This window comes from Homo sapiens, chromosome 7 (assembly GCF_000001405.40).
Source record: "Homo sapiens chromosome 7, GRCh38.p14 Primary Assembly".
Classification (NCBI taxonomy): domain Eukaryota; kingdom Metazoa; phylum Chordata; class Mammalia; order Primates; family Hominidae; genus Homo; species Homo sapiens.
In genome coordinates, this window is record NC_000007.14 from 153,850,659 (window position 1) to 153,872,889 (window position 22,231).

General features: G+C 39.4%; 1 protein-coding gene and 1 long non-coding RNA gene across 6 annotated transcripts in view, besides 1 other annotated feature; both read left to right on the plus strand.

The window, feature by feature from the left end:
• Positions 1-22,231, plus strand: part of DPP6 (dipeptidyl peptidase like 6) — a 1,146,153-nt gene that overhangs the window by 102,526 nt on the left and 1,021,396 nt on the right. The gene's annotated exons all lie outside the window — the stretch shown is intronic.
• On the plus strand, positions 4,621-14,908 carry LOC107986722 (uncharacterized). Its single transcript, XR_001745002.1, has 2 exons — positions 4,621-7,965; positions 14,248-14,908. It is a non-coding gene; the product is annotated as an uncharacterized LOC107986722 (long non-coding RNA).
• Positions 7,444-8,643: an enhancer, noted in NCBI's record as "BRD4-independent group 4 enhancer chr7:153555187-153556386 (GRCh37/hg19 assembly coordinates)". NCBI's record gives its function as "activates an origin of replication core promoter dependent on BRD2, P300/CBP, MED14 and CDK7 cofactors, and independent of BRD4, by STARR-seq in HCT116 cells {active_cell/tissue: HCT116}" and the evidence as "EXISTENCE:reporter gene assay evidence [ECO:0000049][PMID:35650434]".

Consider the following 22,231-nt stretch of genomic DNA (forward strand, 5'->3'; position numbering starts at 1 on the left):
ATGGCAGAAGGTGAATGAGGAGCAAAGTTGTGTCTTACATGGTGGCAGGCAAGAGCTTCTGTAGGGGAACTCCCAGTTATAATAAAACCATCAGATTTAGTGAGACTTATTCACTATCACAAGAAGAGTATGGGGGAAACTGCCTCCATGATTTGGTTATTTCCACCTGGCCCAGCCCTTGACACATGGGGCTTATTAGAATTCAAGGTGAGATTTGGGTGGAGACACAGCCAAAGCATATCAGAAGACATCACACAAGTGCATATGTCCCAGGAGGTAAGAATCCTGGGGCTACCTTCAAGTCCATCTACCACATTTCTTATATCCTTTTTAGGACAGATATCATTTTTTTCCTGTCACATTCTTTAATGGTTTGAAGGTTATTTACTTGTTAACATTTCTATTTACACCTATATTTTCCCGACAATGTCTAGTGCTGATCAGATTATATATTCTTCCCTTGAATAAACCATATAACCTTAGCAAGCGTGGAGTTTCTTTCTCACCTACTCCCACTTTCGCCATTTGCCCTTTGACTATTTGGTATTTGGAATTCTAAGCTGAGAATTTAAAAAATGTAAACATAAACAATCAGCAATTATTTGCCTTAAAACTACATTTTACTAAATTACTTGCTGACTTTTCATTAAACCCACTCATTTTCTCTTGGGTTTACTTTGTACATTTCAAAATATTGCTGTCCTCCTCTCATTCCTGGATGGTACCCTGATTAAGTATAGAATTCTTGATTCAAGGTTATTTTTTCTTTTTGAATTTTTGAAATATTACTCCCTTCACCTTTTGTCTGAAACATTATGTCTAACCTACTCCATATGCCAATCTGATTTTTGTTCCTTTGTACTTAATCGGATATTTTTCACTTTTGTAACTTTCAAGCATTTTCTTTTTATCTTTGGCTTTCTGAAATTTGACAATTTGATATTTTAAGTTTTTGTTTTATATTACTTATATCTTGGTGTCCTGTCCATTTATAAAGAATAATTTCAATATAAGTAGATTTATTCTCCAAGATCTAGAGAAGTTTCTTTGGTTATTCTTTGAATATTCTCCTCCATCTTTATTTGCTTTTTCTAGACATTCTTTCATATAGTACTAATATCACAAATCCCAGATCTATCTTCTATGTTTTTCATGCTTTCTGAACTTTTTCATTGTTTGACTAAGTTCTTGAGGAATTCCAAAGGGTAATTTCATTGCTCTGTAATTTACATTTTACGTATATCAAATGGTATTTGGCTGATACACTAAGGTTTTCTCTCAATAAAATTTTTACTCTGCATGATTTCTATTTGATTTTTTACATCTATTATTCTCCCTCCCATCTCTCTGTGATGCTACTTATCCTTACACTCTGCTTTGTTCTTTGATTGTGTGTTATTCAGCCTTTGGAGTTTGTTATTTCATGGTGGCTTCTCCCTTTCAGTGCTAGATGAATCTTGGTAATGCATTCAGCAGCATTTTCTGTTAGGCTCGATGTCAGCACAGCCTGGCTGGGAGGAGCAGTGAGATGTGCTGGAGTGGTTCATTCTCTCTTCCGGCAATCATGCTGTACTAGACTGTTGCGTTGCTCTAAAGAAACACCTGAGACTGGGTAATTTATAAAGAAAAGAGGTTTAATTGTCCCCGAGTTCTATAGGATGTGTGGTGCTGGCATCTGCTTGGCTTCTGGGGAGGCCTCAGGGAACTTAGTCATGATGGAAGGCAAAGGGGGAGCAGGCATCTCATATGGCCGGAGCAGGAGCAAGAGAGTGGGAGCTGCCATACACTTTTAAACCACCAGATCTCATGAGAACTGACTCACTATCACGAGGACAGTACCAAGGGGGAATGGTGTTAAACCATTCATGAGAAACTACCCTCATGATTCAATCAACTCCCACCAGGCCCCACCTCCAACACTGGGGATCACAATTCAACAGGAGATTTTGGCAGGGACACAGTTCCAAACCATATCAGATGCACACGAAGGACATACAGTACACATTGTGAGCCATGACAAACACAGGTTTATGTCTGTGCTTATTTATGAAAAAAATAGTTTACTTACCAAACACTTATTTATCCTCTTGTGAAAGTTAGTATTAATCCTCTTGTGAAATGAACTCTGGTATTTTCTATTCTGCTCAATCGCATTGCACTTTTTTCACACACGAGTTAAGTACTTTTTTGATTTTCACACACCAAAATGCATCTCGACTGTGGTTGATAAATACTATTTTAGGCCATTTTCAGTAAAATTAAGGAAGAGAACGGACAAGCTATGAAGTGAGGAGTATCAAGAGCTAATTTTCAACATGTGGGCACCCCTCTATCTCCTGGTCAACCCCAGCCATTTGTACACAATGCCCCATCTCTCTGCATAACACCCAGGCTAATTTTACTTAAAAGAGATACAGCTCTGTTGTTTCAGCCTAGGCACAAAAGGAAAAGAGGAATCACAGAGGAATCAAATGCATGGCTATAATGTCCTCACTAACATCTTTCAATTTACCCTTGACCCCTCTTCTCTGTCTGTCTCATCAGGAAGTGAAGCATTTCAGGCTTGCTCCCATGTCTATAGCTGTTCTGCCTGTGCACGTTTGATATCATTGCATCTTCAACCTGATCTCGTTCACTTCTGTTTCAGAAGCTACTAGTAATGTCTGTTCTACCAAGAATTCTCCCTTGGATTTTACAGTGTTAAACTGTATTTATTTATGTCTGTTATGTCATTTCTGGGGCTTGAGGCAGGATGGGTAGCTATAATGTGTTTGGTTTACTCCCTTGAACTAGAAACCTGGGCTATCTTTGCCAAGAAACATTGTTGTCAACCAGAATTTTTGCTGATTTAAGGAGTATGCTAGTCTTTTATGATATAACTAATGGAAGCTTCTATTAAGGAAATACCTCTGTGACTTGTACTAGGCCTGGATGGAAGGCCATCCCATCAGAGCTTGGAAGTACGCCGTGAGACAGTGCTGATAGACAGAGTGAAAGTGCTGCTCAGGAAAGGAACTCCTGGATCTATGGGTCTCAGTGGACATGGCAGAATCATGCAATTCAAATTCAACTTAACAAGAAAACATTGTTTGCTAACTTTAAAAAAATAGTTATTCTTTTCTCCCATTTTGTAGGTTGCCTGTTCACTCTGATGGTAGTTTCTTTTGCTGTGCAGAAGCTCTTTAGTTTAATTAGATCCCATTTGTCAATTTTGGCTTTTGTTGCCATTGCTTTTGGTGTTTTGGACATGAAGTCCTTGCCCATGCCTATGTCCTGAATGGTCATGCCTAGGTTTTCTTCTAGGGTTTTTATGGTTTTAGGTCTAACGTTTAAATCTTTAATCCATCTTGAATTGATTTTTGTATAAGGTGTAAGGAAGGGATCCAGTTTCAGCTTCCTACATATGGCTAGCCAGTTTTCCCAGCACCATTTATTAAATAGGGAATCCTTTCCCCATTGCTTGTTTTTCTCAGGTTTGTCAAAGATCAGATAGTTGTAGATATGCGGCATTATTTCTGAGGGCTCTGTTCTGTTCCATTGATCTATATCTCTGTTTTGGTACAAGTACCATGCTGTTTTGGTTACTGTAGCCTTGTAGTATAGTTTGAAGTCAGGTAGTGTGATGCCTCCAGCTTTGTTCTTTTGGCTTAGGATTGACTTGGTGATCGCAACCTACTCATCTGACAAAGGGCTAATATCCAGAATCTACAATGAACTCCAACAAATTTACAAGAAAAAAACAAACAACCCCATCAAAAAGTGGGCGAAGGACATGAACAGACACTTCTCAAAAGAAGACATTTATGCAGCCAAAAGACACATGAAAAAATGCTCATCATCACTGGCCATCAGAGAAATGCAAATCAAAACCACAATGAGATACCATCTCACACCAGTTAGAATGGCAATCATTAAAAAGTCAGGAAACAACAGGTGCTGGAGAGGATGTGGAGAAATAGGAACACTTTTACACTGTTGGTGGGACTGTAAACTAGTTCATCCATTGTGGAAGTCAGTGTGGCGATTCCTCAGGGATCTAGAACTAGAAATACCATTTGACCCAGCCATCCCATTACTGGGTATATACCCAAATGACTATAAATCATGCTGCTATAAAGACACATGCACATGTATGTTTATTGCGGCATTATTCACAATAGCAAAGACTTGGAACCAACCCAAATGTCCAACAATGATAGACTGGATTAAGAAAATGTGGCACATATACACCATGGAATACTATGCAGCCATAAAACATGATGAGTTCATGTCCTTTGTAGGGACATGGATGAAATTGGAAATCATCATTCTCAGTAAACTATCACAAGAACAAAAAACCAAACACCGCATATTCTCACTCATAGGTGGGAATTGAACAATGAGATCACATGGACACAGGAAGGGGAATATCACACTCTGGGGACTGTTGTGGGTTGGGGGGAGGGGGGAGGGATAGCATTGGGAGATATACCTAATGCTAGATGACAAGTTAGTGGGTGCAGCGCACCAGCATGGCACATGTATACATATGTAACTAACCTGCACAATGTGCACATGTACCCTAAAACTTAAAGTATAATAAAAAAAAAGAAATAATAAAAATAATACCTATAAAAAAAATATTCTTTTTCAATATTATTTTGTTTATTAAGTTCCTTGCTTTTCCATATGGATTTTAGGATCCACTCATTAACTTATACAAACAAGGGAGCGGGGATTCTTTCCTGTTCTTATTTATTTGTGTGTCTCCATTTTCTCCCTTGAAAATTGGACATTTAAAATAATCCACTGCGTGAACTTTGGAAATCAGATTTCCCCCTACTTTTTACTGTTTGCTGCTGTTGTTGTTCTTTGTTTAGAAACTTCATGCATTAATTTTGGAAATTCTCTATTCTTTTTCACATGTGGTCATGAAGGCTTTGGTTAGCTTAGTGATCAGCTGATGATTAGACAGAGATTTCTAGTCTTATTGATCTGGAACCAATAGGGCTCCCAAATCTACCAGTGTACTTCTGTGTGTGTTTGGGCACACCTCAACACTCAGCCAGACATTGGACAACTCTGCCTTAGCTCTCCCTTCCTGCTTAGGAAGTGCCTCAAGGTCAGACAGAGGTGAGAGCTTAGAGTCTTCAGTCATTCTTTACCATACCTACATCTCTGCATATGTACTTGGCCTTCTAGATTCAAAAAAAAATATGATGTAACTTTTCAACATTCCTGTGGAAACTGCATTTCCCAGTCTTACCTTTTAAGCTTTTTGGTTAGTCTAGGGTTTCTCCCAACTATTATGTAGTGCCATAGGTGACTCAGAAGTTAAACAATTGCCTCAATACATCCAACAGTGTCCCCCAAGTCAAAGGCTTTCTGTACTGGGCAAGCACCAAATCACATCATATAAGCACAGCTTTGTGAGCAGGCCCTTTCAGAGAACTATCAGGCAGGTCAGATCATGACAATTCTCTGGAAATGAGGCACCTCACTGAAGGTACCTCACCCTGTTCCTGCCACTCCAGTGGCAGCTAGGTTGGTGGTTTTCACTGTGTTTGCAGACAACTGGTTACAAAGACTACCACAGAGCTAGGGGTACGGTTGAGGATGGGAACAGGAAAAGTTAAAACACTACAAGGTCACTGGTCTTACCAAAATTTGGCCATTTTCCTGGAGTAAATGTTCTCCAGATTTGTATGAGGCTTTGGTTAAATTCCGTGTTTCTGAAAAGTTGATTCTCACAATTTTTGTCAGTTTTTCCATGACATTTAAGAGGAGAAAATATTCAGAGGTTCTTCCTCTGCCATTTTCATTGACATCCTATTTACTTTTATTTAATTCATAATATTATGTACAAAAAATATTTAGTACACATCTGGGGTATTGGCTATGATCAAGAGAATAGCTTAGTCCTAAACATAACCATAAGTTAAGAGGAATTCTTTACTGTGGGATTTCATATCTGGTCCTGCCCTATGGGGCAGTTTACTGTGAGTTTACTTACCTCTGAGCCTTTCTATAAACACACCTGCCCCATATCCCATTCTCAAGGGATCTGTTTGCTAACTTACCAGGTAATTAATTTAGGGTCAAGTGCTAATGACTCATAATGGCATAATATGTAATCATCCAAATCACATTTTCAGGATCGCCAAGGGCTTCTGTATCTTAATCCAAAATAATAAGCAATGTGGGGATTATTGGCTCCTTAAGAAGATCAATCTCTCTTACATAGAATGAGCTCTGAACCAGACACTTAGCCTAAGACAAGTCAGGGTGATTTGTGGAGTTGAAATGTTTTTCACTGAAAATGCCAGAATGTTACTTTTTTCAAAACGTCTGAATAATGTTGGATTTCCTATCGCCTCTAATTCATTGTCTCTGTTTACTTTGCAAGTATAGAAAATATTGATGAAAATGATCATCAATATGAAAGTAAAATGCTCCAAATTAATACCTTTTTTCTATGACAAAGAAACCTTTACAAGTGGAAATAACTTGTATCTTCACAAGGCCACATTTTTAGGTCACAATCTGGACTAAAGATTTTATCTAAAATTTTTAAGCATTTATCTTTGCAAAATAGTTAAGCACAATTTTTAATAGTTATTTAGAAAACATTGGCCATAACCCTAATCTATACTTATTAATATGTGTCCTTAGAACTCAAAGGTTTTCTCTCTCTCTCTCTCTCTCTCTCTCTCTCTCTCTCTCAGCATGTGTATATAAAATTGCTGGTGCTAGTTGCTATGGTCAACATTTAAAGTGCTAAGCACAACACGAAATCTAAAATTCTGTCAGAAAGAAGCTATTTCTACCACTTGAAAAATTTCCTCTCTGCGCAGACACTGCTTACAGCTTTCTGGCATGTGACTTAGGAACAAAGCCATGATTCTTTTACCGGAGAAGGTTTGGGGATATACTTTGAATGTTAAGTTATTTGGGATGATGTTTTTTGTCATTTGATGCCAGCTGCCACTGTTCATGCAGAATTGAGATATCAGTTAAACTAAAGCAGATGCAAAATAGATATTATATCTAGACTAAGTATCATGCTTAGAATATAAACACATATCTACAGTGCTTTTTTATAAAGATAAGGCTATGAATATTTTAGTAATGTTTGGTTTTCCTGATAGAATTTAGATTTGATCTGCATAGTGCTAAAACCTCTTTAAGAACACCACCACATACTTGGGTTTTGTGATTATTTGGATATGATCAGGGTTAGGTTGTCCTTTCCGTAAATGAAGAACAGGTTGAAGAAATCAATTGTATAAAAATGTTATAAGTGGAGTTCTCAGTTGACTCCACTTTCCTCTAGCTCTAAATTTGTGATGATGTGATCTTTTTGCAAGCACCATTTACATACTGATGTACTTGTTACATTTCATTCTAATTAGTCATTAACATATGTCTTCTAAGGACAGTTGAGGAAGCATTCTCTTACCAGAATTTGTTATGAGTTTTTTGCTTTTTCTTGTTTCTCTTTCCCCTTCTTTCTTCAAAATGACAAGAGAGTTTTCTTTGCAGTCATTTGAAAGTGGCTCAGTTGAGTTAGAGTGAGCTCATTAATTGTAGATTTGTGGTAACCATAACTAATTTTTGAGGAAGGCATGACACAGATGACTGTATCCACCAGAAACAAGTTTCTTATTCCCTGATTCAATCACCCAGGGGATTGGTTCTGCTGGGGCAGGGTGAAGGGAACAGTTTTCAGGGTGTCAGGTAAAAACAGAGACGCTAGTAACGGTGTAAACACTTGTTTCTCCAGGGAAATATCTGGACCTGGCTCAAGACGGGACTCTTGTTCTTGACTTTCCTCCTTCCTGTGTCTTCTCAGATTCTCAGCCCAGTGATGACGCTGTCCTCCCACTCTGCATTCCCTAGATCACACACAAGGCTGTGAATGCTTGTGTACCTCATGTGCTGGGCATTTCCAAGAACCAGTGGCTTCCTGTGAAAGCTGATTCACAAGTATGTTTTCAGCTTACTGTGTGAGCAATTAAATCCACTGCTGTCATCCACAGTAAAAACTCTCCACATGCTGCTTCACAGACCTTTTTTTCCCTTTGGCTTTAAACAGAGATGTTTAATGAAGATGAGATTTTTATTTCCTTTTCCATATATAGGAGCTACTGAATGTAAGGGAGAAAGAACATGGCTTAATATGGTGAAAGTAATGGAGGCAGTATATAATTATCATTATCTGCTACAATTAAGGCAGCATCACGCTGTCTTGTGACAGTTTATTGTGGTGTGTGGGGATGCAGTAAAGTGATATTTATACCCCCATGACTGCCTTGCCATTCAGAAATCCATAACTCTATAAATGCATTCTGTGGCTATAGAGCATATGTCTTCAGCACTTCCCTATTAGGCTGGGTCTTTACATTGAGAATGTGGCCCATGAAATGAGAATAAGCTCATAGAATAGATCAGAAAGTAAAAAGCTGTTCAACAGCAATGATGAACAAAACCTTCACCTGTGCAATAAGGGTGTTGGGATCTATTGGTAAAAGGCCTGGGGCCCGTCTGGTGATAGGCCAGGACCCTGAGGCAGGGCTGGATAAGATGGAGAGGGCTGCATTGCACCATGCATTGCAGAAGAGGCACACTCATTTCAAGAAAGGATACGGGCTTGGCTGAGCGACACATGCAACTAAAACTCAAGACACACATTCTAACTTTCTCTCAAGCTGGAGTCGGGAGGCTGGCATACAAAGAGGACAATGTAAGGCTAGTTATCACATGCCAATGACGGTGGTGAAGAACCACGTGTTCCATGAGACGTGGCTGTCTAGACCATGTTGTGCAGAAAAAAACTTGAGTGAGACATGGGAGCTGAAATCAGTGTTCTGAGCTGGACAGGACAGAACCTCTAAGACAACCAAGGGGCATTTGAGTGCTGGCTTTGCCAGAGCAACTAGTGTGGGCATCATCCTGTTTACTGCCTGTTGCATGGAGACATGATGGTACCCACTGGATATGGCTGTGGCTAAGTGTATTATTCCGTTCCTACGCTGCTATGAAGAAATACCCAGACTGGGTAATTTATAAAGAAAAGAGGTTTAATTGACTCACAGTTCTGCATGGCTGGAGAGGCCTCAGGAAACTTATGATCATGGCAGAAGGCACCTCTTCACAGGGTGGCAGGAGAGAGAATGAGTGTAGGCAGAGGAAATGCCAGATGCTTATAAAACCATCAGATCTCGTGAGAACTCACTCAATATCATGAGAACAGCGTGGGGAAAACCACCCCCATGGTTCAATTACCTCCACCTGGTCCTGCCCTTGACACAGGGGGATAATTAGAACTCATGGTGAGATTTGGGTGGGAACACGGAGCCAAACCATATCACTAAGGTTCGCTTAACTAATGTGTAGAAAGGGTTCAGGGCAATGTCTATAACATAGCTATCACTCAATTTAGGTTGCTGTTATTATTATCATTTTCATGATAGAGTTATTATTATTATTCCAGAACAGCCAAAGCCTGCACCATCTATTCCAGCATATTTCGAGATTTAAAAGTACACCACTATTTCATTCTAAAGGAATGACTTGCCAAGATTTAAATTTCAAGTACTTTGACACCTAGGGGAATCTCCACCATGTTGGGGCTGCAGGGGGTACAAGGCCCCTCATTGTACCCTTCTGGTGCCTCTCCACCCTGCTCAGTGCCCCAGGAGGCTGACTGGCAGAAGCTCCATTGCCCTTTGGTGTTTGACTGTGTTTGGCCAGTGGGAGGCACTGGAAGGAGTTGCAGGATGGAAGGGAAGTGAGGCCAGAGCGTTTGCACCCAACTCCCTGCCCACCCATTCCCTGAACCAGAGCTAGAACTTCCACCAGGCAGCCTTGCCGTTCGGCCACCCTTCCCGGGTTGCAGGGCCTGCTCTCCTTCTGCATCTTCCTCAAGCCTAGAAGGGGGAATGCCTTCCCAATGACAAGCCCCAGGTACTGCACTATCCTTGGGTGGTTTCCCTAAATCTTGCCCATGCCTTCAAAAAAAAAAAAAAGGGGCCCTGTATTAAACTTTCCTTCACTTCCCAGTGTGAGTGTGCTTCCTGCCTCCTGCCGTGGGTACTTCCTGTTGTCCTTTAAATCACACCTATATAATTGTTTCCATGACTTCAAAACTATTTATAGCATACTTTACCTCATCCCTTTCTGTTCTCACCAACTAAAATAGCTTATATTTTAACCTTTGTCATAGAGACACACAAATACACACCTAGTACCTAAACAAAGCAGAGGAGAGGCAAGTTAATCCTCTGTGCCTACGAATATGTTAATTTTTAAAAGCATTACTGAGATGCTTAGTAAAGTAGCAGGTGTTGTGAAATTGCATTTTTATTACCCTTCCCCATATCAGGCAAGAAAGTTATGGTCTCTTCAGCTATTTTACCATTTGCTAAATGTTCCCAGTCAGTTAGCACAGATAATGCTTTTTTTTAAAATCATATTTAGGCAATTAGAAACTTTTGGGTTAATTAATTTTGCATATTAGAAGACAGGACTTTAATATAAATTTAAGGCAACGGGTTTAATATTGTAAATAATAACAGTTATCACAAACCATAAACATATTTATAATTTATATGCATGAAAATAGAGTCTGCTGTTAAAATATTGAAAATTAAGATAACACAGCTTTCAGCCTCAAAATGAAAACTTTCTGCATAGCTACACTCTCTAAGTAAGACATATTTGGCCAATGACTTAATATAAATGAATGGCAATTCTTTATTCAGACATACCATTATTTTCTAATGCATGTAGCATATTCAAAAGATGCATATGTTTCCAAAAATTATACCATCAAATGTGATAAGAAAGGAAGTTATGATGAAGGGTAAATAGGAGTGGGAGAACAAAGAAGCCAGGAATTGGGTTTGAAAGTAATGTCCATGTCCTGAAGGCCTCTACAATGAGCTATGCATCCTCCCTTTTTTATCATATTCAATGGTACAATTTTTGGAAAGATATGAGGGAAATGCAATTGGCTACCCTATGTTTATTATCTAGAAGATGAAAATAACCACCTAGTCAGGTAATGCAGATTTCTTCCCAGCACCAAGATAAAGAGATGTTTACTCATTAATGAGACACTGTGGCAACGGAAGGAAAACCAAGCTCCACAGGAGCATTCATCTGATTTCCTAAGACTATTTTATTTATTGAGCTCCTCAATGTAGACAGATGGAGTAACCCAAACGGCAATTTAGTGGTAGCAATTCTTTGGGGGGAAAAAGCTGAGAATGTTGCAATCCAGGTAAACATCTCGATGATGGCTCTAATGATTGCAGCTGTCAATTAACTGATACTCCCACATTTTTGTTGCAATGGCAGAGAATATGAAAGTCCTAAGGACAAAAACAGCAAACCGTCCTTGAGAATTTACATGTGGAAGATGAGAGCCTGAGCCTGTGGGGCCTGACTCCAGGCTCCCAGAGGCAACATGTGGCTCCATTTGGACTTCAGAAAAGCAGGGGAAAAGAATGACGAGGAGGCACAAAAGTTATTTTAAAACCAGGATGTAGTTGTAACAAATACAGCTGGAAAAGAGGAAATGAGATTTTTAAAATACAAGAAAAGATAGCGAAAAAGAGCCTCTGTTCCCGTTAATACCTCCTACTGTGCTACCAAAGTTCAGGGATTGCAAATGGCTGTAATCATTTGGCCACCGCCATGGACTGGCCTGTTAGCAGCAAAGTCAGGTCTGATGGCAGGTTCCACTCTGACATCTCAGCTCCATATTTTAGGGTTATTTGCCTCTCACCTTGAAAAACACCTACTGCAGTTAATTATTAACTGTCACCTTCACATCACCCAGAGCGGGCTGATGTTACAGAACAGCCTCAGCCAACTCTCATCTAAACTCTGGGTTTAGTTTTCTAGTTTTTGTTTTGTTTTATTTTGTTTCAGGCATCATACCTAAATAATGCCTAAACATCTTTCTCCTAGTAGGCAGATTATTTTTTCCTTCTAAATGTAATTAAAGATACAAACTCAGGCTGTGTTTGTGCTTGCCAAGAAAAGAACAAGCTAGATTTGGTGGCCTTCACAGTATTTTTTTTAGTATTTTAGGTTTCTCCATTATCTCAATAAAAGTCCATTTTAATACATTGAAATATTTGAAATATATTTATAAAAATTATGCGTTAAGTAATTTAGAACTAAACAACAAATCGGTAACATATAATACTATTTAAAGCAAATATCATCAAGGGTCAATTTCCTTAATGCAAAAAAAATCATGCAAATCAATACGTGAGAAAAGAAATAGACCAACAGGGAAAAATAGATAAATATTATGAGCAGACAGTTTACAGGAAAAATGATATATAAGAAGATGCATATATCTTAAAATATATTGGTTGAATAATATCCTATCTTAAACATTTTATTTCTACTTAAACCATATAAATGTATACTTGCTAACCGATCTTTTGACATAGTTTTTCATGTTTCTCTTATTATATAACTCTACCCATCATGTATTGCCTTTTATTTCCAATTTTGATTTCATCAAAGCATAGCAAAACATAAAAACCTTGTAAGCACTGACAATGATGGTTTCCAGCTTTACCCATGTCCCTGCAAAGGACATGAACTCATCCTTTTTTATGGCTGCATAGTATTCCATGGTATATATGTACCACATTTTCTTTATCCGGTCTATCATTGATGGGCATTGGGGTTGGTTCCAAGTCTTTGCTGTTGTGAACATGTATGCCAGGACTTGTAGTAAACAACAACAACAACAAACCTTCCAAGTGCAAAATCTCTGTAGATTTTTCCTTTTTTCCCCTCAGTCTTTTTTTTTAACAGCTTTGCTGAGGTATAGTTTTCATAGCATAAATTTCACTCATTCAAAATGTATAATCATCCAGCCTGAGCAATTGGTTAAGACTCCCATCTCTAAAGAAATTTAAATGAAAAAATAAATACGACGTGGAAATCAATGATTTTTTTAGTATGCTTACAGAATTGTACACCCATCGACTGAATTTAATTTTAGAACATTTTTGTCACTCCAGGAAGAAACCTTATGCATATTAGCAGTCACTCCCCACACCCCTTCCTCCTACTCCCCAGACCAAGCAGCTGCTGCTTCCTGTCTGTGTAGATTTTCATTTCCCTATTCTGCACGTTTCGTATAAAAGGAATCATGAACTACGTGGTCTTTCATGACTGGCTTCTTTCATTTAGGATGAAATGTTTTCAAAGTTCATCCACGTTGTGGCATGTATCAGTACTTTATTCCCTTTAGTGGCTGAATAATCTTCCACTGTATGGATGTACCACATTTTGTTTATCCGTTCATTAGTCAGTGGTCATTTGGGCTACTTACCCTTTTTGACTATTGTAAATAATGCTGCTCTGAACATTTGTGGGTGTGCAAGTGTTTATCTGGGCATGTGTTTTCATTTCTCTTGGGTATATACTCAGGATTGAAATTGCTGAGTCAAATGGTAACTCCATGTCTAACATTTTGAGGAACGCCAGACTGTGTTTCACAACAACTTCACCATTTTAACAGTCCCACCGGTAATGTATGGGTTCGAATTTCTCCACATCCTTTGCATCACTTGTTATTATCTGACTTTTTTATTATAGCAATTTTAGTGGTTGTGAAATGGCAACTCATTGTGGCTTTGAGTTGATACTCCCTTGTAGAAAAACAAGAGTCAAACTTACGTTTTAAAAAATATATGCTTGGGGCCGGGCGTGGTGGCTCACACTTCTAATCCCAGCACTTTGAGAGGCTGAGGCAGGTGGATCACCTGAGGTCATGAGTTCAAGACCAGACTGGCCAACATGGCAAAACCCCGTCTCTACTAAAAATACCAAAAATTAGCTGGGCATGGTGGTGGGCGCCTCTAATCCCAGCTACTCAGGAGGCTGAGGCAGGGACAATTGCTTGAACCCAGGAGGCAGAAGTGGCAGTGAGCCAAGATTGCACCACTACACTCCAGCCTGGGCAACAGAGCAAGACTCTGTCTCAAAAAATAATAATAATACACACACACACACACACACACACACACACACACACACACACACACACACGTGCTTGGGGAACTTTTAACAGGGAAAATATAATGTATGTGTTATGTAGGCTTCAGCCACAGATACATGATGAAGCTTACAACTGTAAACATGCAGGCTTTACTCTTCTTGATTACTGAGATGGATGGCAGTTTATCGACACTTATTCAGGTTTTTGCTCCTTTCTGTCAATTTAAATCTCAGGATCAGTGAAAAGAGCCCAGGGAGAAGACAGGAGATCTGTGTGTCCCCAGCCCTGTCCCCAAACTGTCTGTAAGAACTTTCAGCCTCTGAAACTCATCAGCAGTAGAAGATAACTTGTCTCCAATATTTGACAGTGGTGATGTGAAGGTAAAGCAAACTGATTAACACGAATCAACTATGAAAAACTTAAAGCGATTTACCAGCATCTTACATGTAGTAAATGTATTTTACACACACACATATCTATTATATTATATATACAGGACCGAAAGAATAAAGAAAAACATTTTTTGGGTAGGAAAATGGCAGAGACGACAGCAATAGCAGTATTTTCTGGCAAAATGTTACAGAATAAGATGGAGTATACAGAAAAGTAAGGTTACTCATTCAAAACAACAACCACAGATATTTTTTGTTGATATTGTTAGGTTTGGGATTTATTTTTTAGATTTTAATGAAGATGGTAGGTTAATTGATAACCTTCTTGGCAGGAGACCATAATCTTGGCTTTCAGAATGTGAATAAAAGGGGCTCTAGTTTCTTTCCCCTTTTTGTAATATCGTTGTCACCTCATAACTACAGCTTGGGGTTTTAGCTACAGTCCAAATGACATTTTAATTAATAAAATTTGGCCATAATTAAATTACATATAAAAATATATCACAAGTACCTCTTATTTAACTTTTACTTCTTTGCCAATATATAAAGTGGTCAATAAGACTTCTATTCAAAAATAGTGTATTTTTTAAATTTTATTATTACTATATTTAAGTTTTAGGGTACATGTGCACAACGTGCACGTTTGTTACATATGTATACATGTGCCATGTTTGTGTGCTGCAACCATTAACTCGTCATTTAGCATTAGGTATATCTCCTAATGCTATCCTTCCCCCCTCCCCCCACCCCACAACAGGCCCCAGAGAGTGATATTCCACTTCCTGTGTCCATGTGTTCTCATTCTCCATTTCCCACCTATGAGTGAGAACATGTGGTGTTTAGTTTTTTGTCCTTGCGATAGTTTGCTGAGAATGATGGTTTCCAGCTTCATCCATGTCCCTATAAAGGACATGAACCCATCATTTTTTATGGCTGCATAGTATTTCATGGTGTATATGTGCCACATTTTCTTAATCCAGTCTATCATTGTTGGACATTTGGGTTGGTTCCAAGTCTTTGCTGTTGTGAATAGTGCCACAATAAACATACGTGTGCATGTGTCTTTATAGCAGCATGATTTACAATCCTTAGGGTATTTACCCAGTAATGGGATGGCTGGGTCAAATGGTATTTCTAGTTCTAGATCCCCGAGGAATCGCCACACTGACTTCCACAATGGTTGAACTAGTTTACAGTCCCACCAACAGTGTAAAAGTGTTCCTATTTCTCTACATCCTCTCCAGCACCTGTTGTTTCCTGACTTTTTAATGATCGCCGTTCTACCTAGTGTGAGATGGTATCTCATTGTGGTTTTGATTTGCATTTCTCTGATGGCCAGTGATGATGAGCATTTTTTCATGTGTTTTTTGTCTGCATAAATGTCTTCTCTTGAGAAGTGTCTGTTCATATCCTTTGCCCACTTTTTGATGGGGTTGTTTTTTTCTTGTAAATTTGTTTGAGTTCATTGTAGATTCTGGATATTCACCCTTTGTCAGATGAGTAGGTTGCAAAAATTTTCTCCCATTCTGTAGGTTGCCTGTTCGCTCTGATGGTAGTTTCTTTTGCTGTGCAGAAGCTCTTTAGTTTAATTAGATCCCATTTGTCAATTTTGGCTTTTGTTGCCATTGCTTTTGGTGTTTTAGACATGAAGTCCTTGCCCATGCCTATGTCTTGAATGGTATTGCCTAGGTTTCCTTCTAGGGTTTTTATGGTTTTAGGTCTAACATGTAAGTCTTTAATCCATCTTGAATTAATTTTTGTATAAGGTGTAAGGAAGGGATCCAGTTTCAGCTTTCTACATATGGCTAGCCAGTTTTCCCAGCACCATTTATTAAATAGGGAATCCTTTCCCCATTGCTTGTTTTTCTCAGGTTTGTCAAAGATCAGATAGTTGTAGATATGTGGCATTATTTCTGAGGGCTCTGTTCTGTTCCATTGGTCGATATCTCTGTTTTGGTACCAGTACCACGCTGTTTTTGTTACTGTAGCCTTGTAGTATAGTTTGAAGTCAGGTAGCGTGATGCCTCCAGCTTTGTTCTTTTGGCTTACGATTGACTTGGCAATGCGGGCTCTTTTTTGGTTCCATATGAACATTAAGGTAGCTTTTTCCAATTCTGTGAAGAAAGTAATTGGTAGCTTGAGGGGGATGGCATTGAATCTATAAATTACCTTGGGCAGTATGGCCATTTTCACGATATTGATTCTTCCTACCCATGAGCGTGGAATGTTCTTCCATTTGTTCATATCCTCTTTTATTTCATTGAGTAGTGGTTTGTAGTTCTCCTTGAAGAGGTCCTTCATATCCCTTGTAAATTGGATTCCTAAGTATTTTATTCTCTTTGAAGCAATTGTGAATGGGAGTTCACTCATGATTTGGCCCTCTGTTTGTCTGTTATTGGTGTATAAGAATGCTTGTGATATTTGCACATTGATTTTGTATCCTGAGACTTTGCTGAAGTTGCTTATCAGCTTAAGGAGATTTTGGGCTGAGACAATGGGGTTTTCTAGATATACAATCATGTCATTTGCAAACAGGGACAATTTGACTTCCTCTTTTCCTAATTGAATACCCTTTATTTCCTTCTCCTGCCTGATTGCCCTGGCCAGAACTTCCAACACTATGTTGAATAGGAGTGGTGAGAGAGGGCATCCCTGTCTTGTGCCGGTTTTCAAAGGGAATGCTTCCAGTTTTTGTCCATTCAGTATGATATTGGCTGTGGGTTTGACATAGATAGCTCTTATTATTTTGAGATACGTCCCATCAATACCTAATTTATTGCGAATTTTTAGCATGAAGGGTTGTTGAATTTTATCAAAGGCCTTTTATGCATCTATTGAGATAATCATGTGGTTTTTGTCTTTGGTTCTGTTTATATGCTGGATTACGTTTATTGATTTTCGTATGTTGAACCAGCCTTGCATCCCAGGGATGAAGCCGACTTGATCATGGTGGATAAGCTTTTTGATGTGCTGCTGGATTCAGTTTGCCAGTATTTTATTGAGGATTTTTGCATCAATGTTCATCAAGGATATTGGTCTAAAATTCTCTTTTTTGGTTGTGTCTCTGCCCGGCTTTGGTATCAGGATGATGCTGGCCTCATAAAATGAGTTAGGGAGGATTCCCTCTTTTTCTATTGATTGGAATAGTTTCAGAAGGAATGGTACCAGCTCCTCCTTGTACCTCTGGTAGAATTTGGCTGTGAATCCATCTGGTCATGGACTTTTTTTGGTTGGTAAGCTATTAATTATTGCCTCAATTTCAGAGCCTGTTATTGGTCTATTCAGAGATTCAAATTCTTCCTGGTTTAGTCTTGGGAGGGTGTATGTGTCTAGGAATTTATCCATTTCTTCTAGATTTTCTAGTTTATTTGCGTAGAGGTGTTTATGGTATTCTCTGATGGTAGTTTGTATTTCTGTGGGATCGGTGGTGATATAACCTTTGTCATTTTTTATTGCATCTATTTGATTCTTCTCTCTTTTCTTCTTTATTAGTCTTGCTAGCAGTCTATCAATTTTGTTGATCTTTTAAAAAAACCAGCTCCTGGATTCATTGATTTTTTGAAGGGTTTTGTGTGTCTCTATTTCCTTCAGTTCTGCTCTGATCTTAGTTATTTCTTACCTTCTGCTAGCTTTTGAATGTGTATGCTCTTGCTTCTCTAGTTCTTTTAATTGTGATGTTAGGGTGTCAATTTTAGATCTTTCCTGCTTTCTCTTGTGGGCATTTAGTGCTATAAATTTCCCTCTACACACTGCTTTGAATGTGTCCCAGAGATTCTAGTATGTTTTGTCTTTGTTCTCGTTGGTTTCAAAGAACATCTTTATTTCTGCTTTCATTTCGTTATGTACCCAGTAGTCATTCAGGAGCAGGTTGTTCAGTTTCCATGTAGTTGAGTGATTTTGAGTGAGTTTCTTAATCCTGAGTTCTAGTTTGATTGCACTGTGGTCTGAGAGACAGTTTGTTATAATTTCTGTTCTTTTACATTTGCTGAGGAGTGCTTTACTTCCAACTATGTGGTCAATTTTGGAATAGGTGTGGTGTGGTGCTGAAAAGAATGTATATTCTGTTGATTTGGGGTGGAGAGTTCTGTAGATGTCTATTAGGTCCGCTTGGTGCAGAGCTGAGTTCAATTCCTGGATATCCTTGTTAACTTTCTGTCTCATTGATCTGTCTAATGTTGACAGTGGGGTGTTAAAGTCTCCCATTATTATTGTGTGGGAGTCTAAGTCTCTTTGTAGGTCACTAAGGACTTGCTTTATTAATCTGGGTGCTCCTGTATTGGGTGCATATGTATTTAGGATAGTTAGCTCTTCTTGTTGAATTAATCCCCTCACCATTATGTAATGGCCTTGTTTGTCTCTTTTGATCTTTGTTGGTTTAAAGTCTGCTTTATCAGAGACTAAGATTGCAACCCCTGCCTTTTTTTGTTTTCCATTTGCTTGGTAGATCTTCCTCCATCCCTTTATTTGGAGCCTATGTGTGTCTCTGCACATGAGATGGGTTTCCTGAATACAGCACACTGATGGGTCTTGACTCTATTCAATTTGCTAGTCTGTGTCTTTTAATCGGAGCATTTAGCCCATTTACATTTAAGGTTAATATTGTTATATGTGAATTTGATCCTGTCATTATGATGTTAGCTGGTGATTTTGCTCATTAGTTGATGCAGTTTCTTCCTAGCCTTGATGGTCTTTACAATTTGGCATGTTTTTGCAGTGGCTGGTACTGGTTGTTCCTTTCCATTTTTAGTGCTTCCTTCAGGAGCTCTTTTAGGGCAGGCCTGGTGGTGACAAAATCTCTCAGCATTTGCTTGTCTGTAAAGTATTTTATTTCTCCTTCACTTATGAAGCTTAGTTTGGCTGGATATGAAATTCTGGGTTGAAAATTCTTTTCTTTAAGAATGTTGAATATTGGCCCCTATTCTCTTCTGGCTTGTAGAGTTTCTGCTGAGAGATCAACTGTTAGTCTGATGGGCTTCCCTTTGTGGGTAACCCTACCTTTCTCTCTGGCTGCCCTTAACATTTTTTCCTTCATTTCAACTTTGGTGAATCTGACAATTATGTGTCTTGGAGTTGCTCTTCTCGAGGAGCATCTTTGTGGTGTTCTCTGTACTTCCTGAATCTGAATGTTGGCCTGCCTTGCTAGATTGGGGAAGTTCTCCTGGATAATATCCTGCAGAGCATTTTCCAACTTGATTCCATTCTCCCTGTCACTTTCAGGTACACCAATCAGATGTAGATTTGGTCTTTTCACATAGTCCCATATTTCTTGGAGGACTTGTTTGTTTCTTTTTATTCTTTTTTCTCTAAACTTCTCTTCTCGCTTCATTTCATTCATTTTGTCTTCCATCGCTGATACTCTTTCTTGCAGTTGATCGAATCAGCTACTGAGGCTTCTGCATTCATCACATAATTCTCGTGCTGTGGTTTTCAGCTCCATCAGGTCCTTTAAGGACTTCTCTGCATTAGTTATTCTAGTTAGCCATTCATCTAATTTTTCCCAAGGTTTTTAACTTCTTTGCCATTGGTTCAAACTTCCTCCTTTAGCTCAGAGTAGTTTGATCTTCTGAAGCCTTCTTCTCTCAACTTGTCAAAGTCATTCTCCATCCAGCTCTGTTCCGTTGCTGGTGAGGTGCTGCGTTCCTTTGGAGGAGGAGAGGCTCTCTGATTTTTAGAGTTTCTGGTTTTTCTGCTCTGTTTTTTGCCCATCTTTGTGGTTTTATCTACCTTTAGTCTTTGATGATGGTGACGTACAGATGGGTTTTTGGTGTGGATGTCCTTTCTGTTTGTTAGTTTTCGTTCTAACAGACAGGACCCTCAGCTGCAGGTCTGTTGGAGTTTGCTAGAGGTCCACTCCAGACCTTGTTTGCTTGGGTATCAGCAGCAGTGGCTGCAGAACAGCAGATATTGGTGAACCTCAAATGCTGCTGCCTGATCATTCCTCTGGAAGTTTTGTCTCAGAGGAGTACCCGGCCGTGTGAGGTGTCAGTCTGCCCCTCCTAGGGGATGCCTCCCAGTTAGGCTATTCGGGGGTCAGGAACCCACGTGAGGAGGCAGTCTGCCCATTCTCAGATCCCAAGCTGCGTGCTGGGAGAACCACTACTCTCTTTCAAAGCTGTCAGACAGCGACATTTAAGTCTGCAGAGGTTACTGTTGCCTTTTGTTTGTCTGTGCCCTGCCCCCAGAGGTGGAGCCTGTAGAGGCAGGCAGGCCTCCTTGAGCTGTGGTGGGCTCCACGCAGTTTGAGCTTCCCGGCTGCTTTGTTTACCTACTCAAGCCTTGGCAATGGTGGGCGCCCCTCCCCCAGCCTCACTGCCACCTTGCAGTTTGATCTCAGACTGCTGTGCTAGTAATGAGCGAGGCTCCGTGGGCATAGGACCCTCCGAGCCAAGTGCGGGATATAATCTCCTGGTGTATGGTTTGTTAAGCCCGTTTGGAAAAGCGCAGTATTAGGGTGGGAGTGACCCAATTTTCCAGGTGCCGTCTGTCACCCCTTTCTTTGACTAGGAAAGGGAGTTCCCTGACCCCTTGCACTTCCTGGGTGAGGCGATGCCTTGCCCTGCTTCGGCTTACGCACAGTGCGCTGCACCCACTGTCCTGCACCCACTGTCTGGCACTCCCCAGTGAGATGAACCCAGTACCTCAGTTGGAAATGCAGAAATCACCCACCTTCTGCGTCGCTCACGCTGGGAGCTATAGACTGGAGCTCTTCCTATTCGGCCATCTTGGCTCCACCCCAAAAATAGTGTATTTTAGACAGTTTAGAGAGTCATTATTCCATGGTTCAGTATGAACCTTCTTTTTGCTACTGTTTGTACCTTTTCGTCACTGTGACTTCATCAGGAACAAGAATTTCATCCCTGCAGCAAACACCGCTGCGAATATGGACTGCAGGGTGACAAAATCATCGTCACAATTTTTACGCTTTCTGAATTTCTCTTGCAAATATCCACATTAACAGTACTAATATTCTTCAGCCTTCAAAACTCATGCTGTTTTATTTCTCACACTTGCCCTTCATTCTCTTTGTAATGGATCCACAATCGTTCCATCTGTAATGTTTTGCCTTAAAAGAGCAGTTTTTTTCCCAAGTGTCTTCAAGAACCATTTGTATTAGCATCAACTGGGTACATGTACAGAATGCAAATTCATAGGCCTGAAGCTAGACCTGCTGGATCAGGGTATGGCCTGGTAATGTGTATTTTCATAAGCATCCAGGTACCTCACAGGTGCACTTATATCTTGTATATACTGCTATGGAAGGTGCTCTGCTCTAATTAATCAAACAAGTATGTAATAGAGTAAGCCTCATAGCATAATAAATAATACTGTGGGCCATGGCAGTAAGAACTGGCTCATTTAAATACTGTTAAATTATCAGGACAAGTATTAAATATGTAATTTTTATTAAATATACCACTGGTTGCCAGAAGAATTCTCATTGATGTAGCAGTTTTCACATTTATATATATTTATAATTTTAAAATGATAGATAACATATACTGAATGCTTACTATTAGCCATGCCCTGTTTTTCATAAATTAATCCATGTATATAAGTATTTTACATTTACTCATTTATACAGCATGATGAGCGACAAGGTGCTATCATTATTATCATTATCATCTTAGATGGGGAAACTGAGGCATGGGGGCCCCACAGCACTAAGTGGCAGAGCCATGATTCAGCAGTAAATAATCCAGTACCAAAGCTCTGGTCCTTAGCAATTATACCTGTACTGTCTCTCTATTTGTAAAGAAAGTGTAGGTCTTTAAATGCTATTTTGAACAGATTTCCATATACCTATGTATAGAATAACCAACTACAA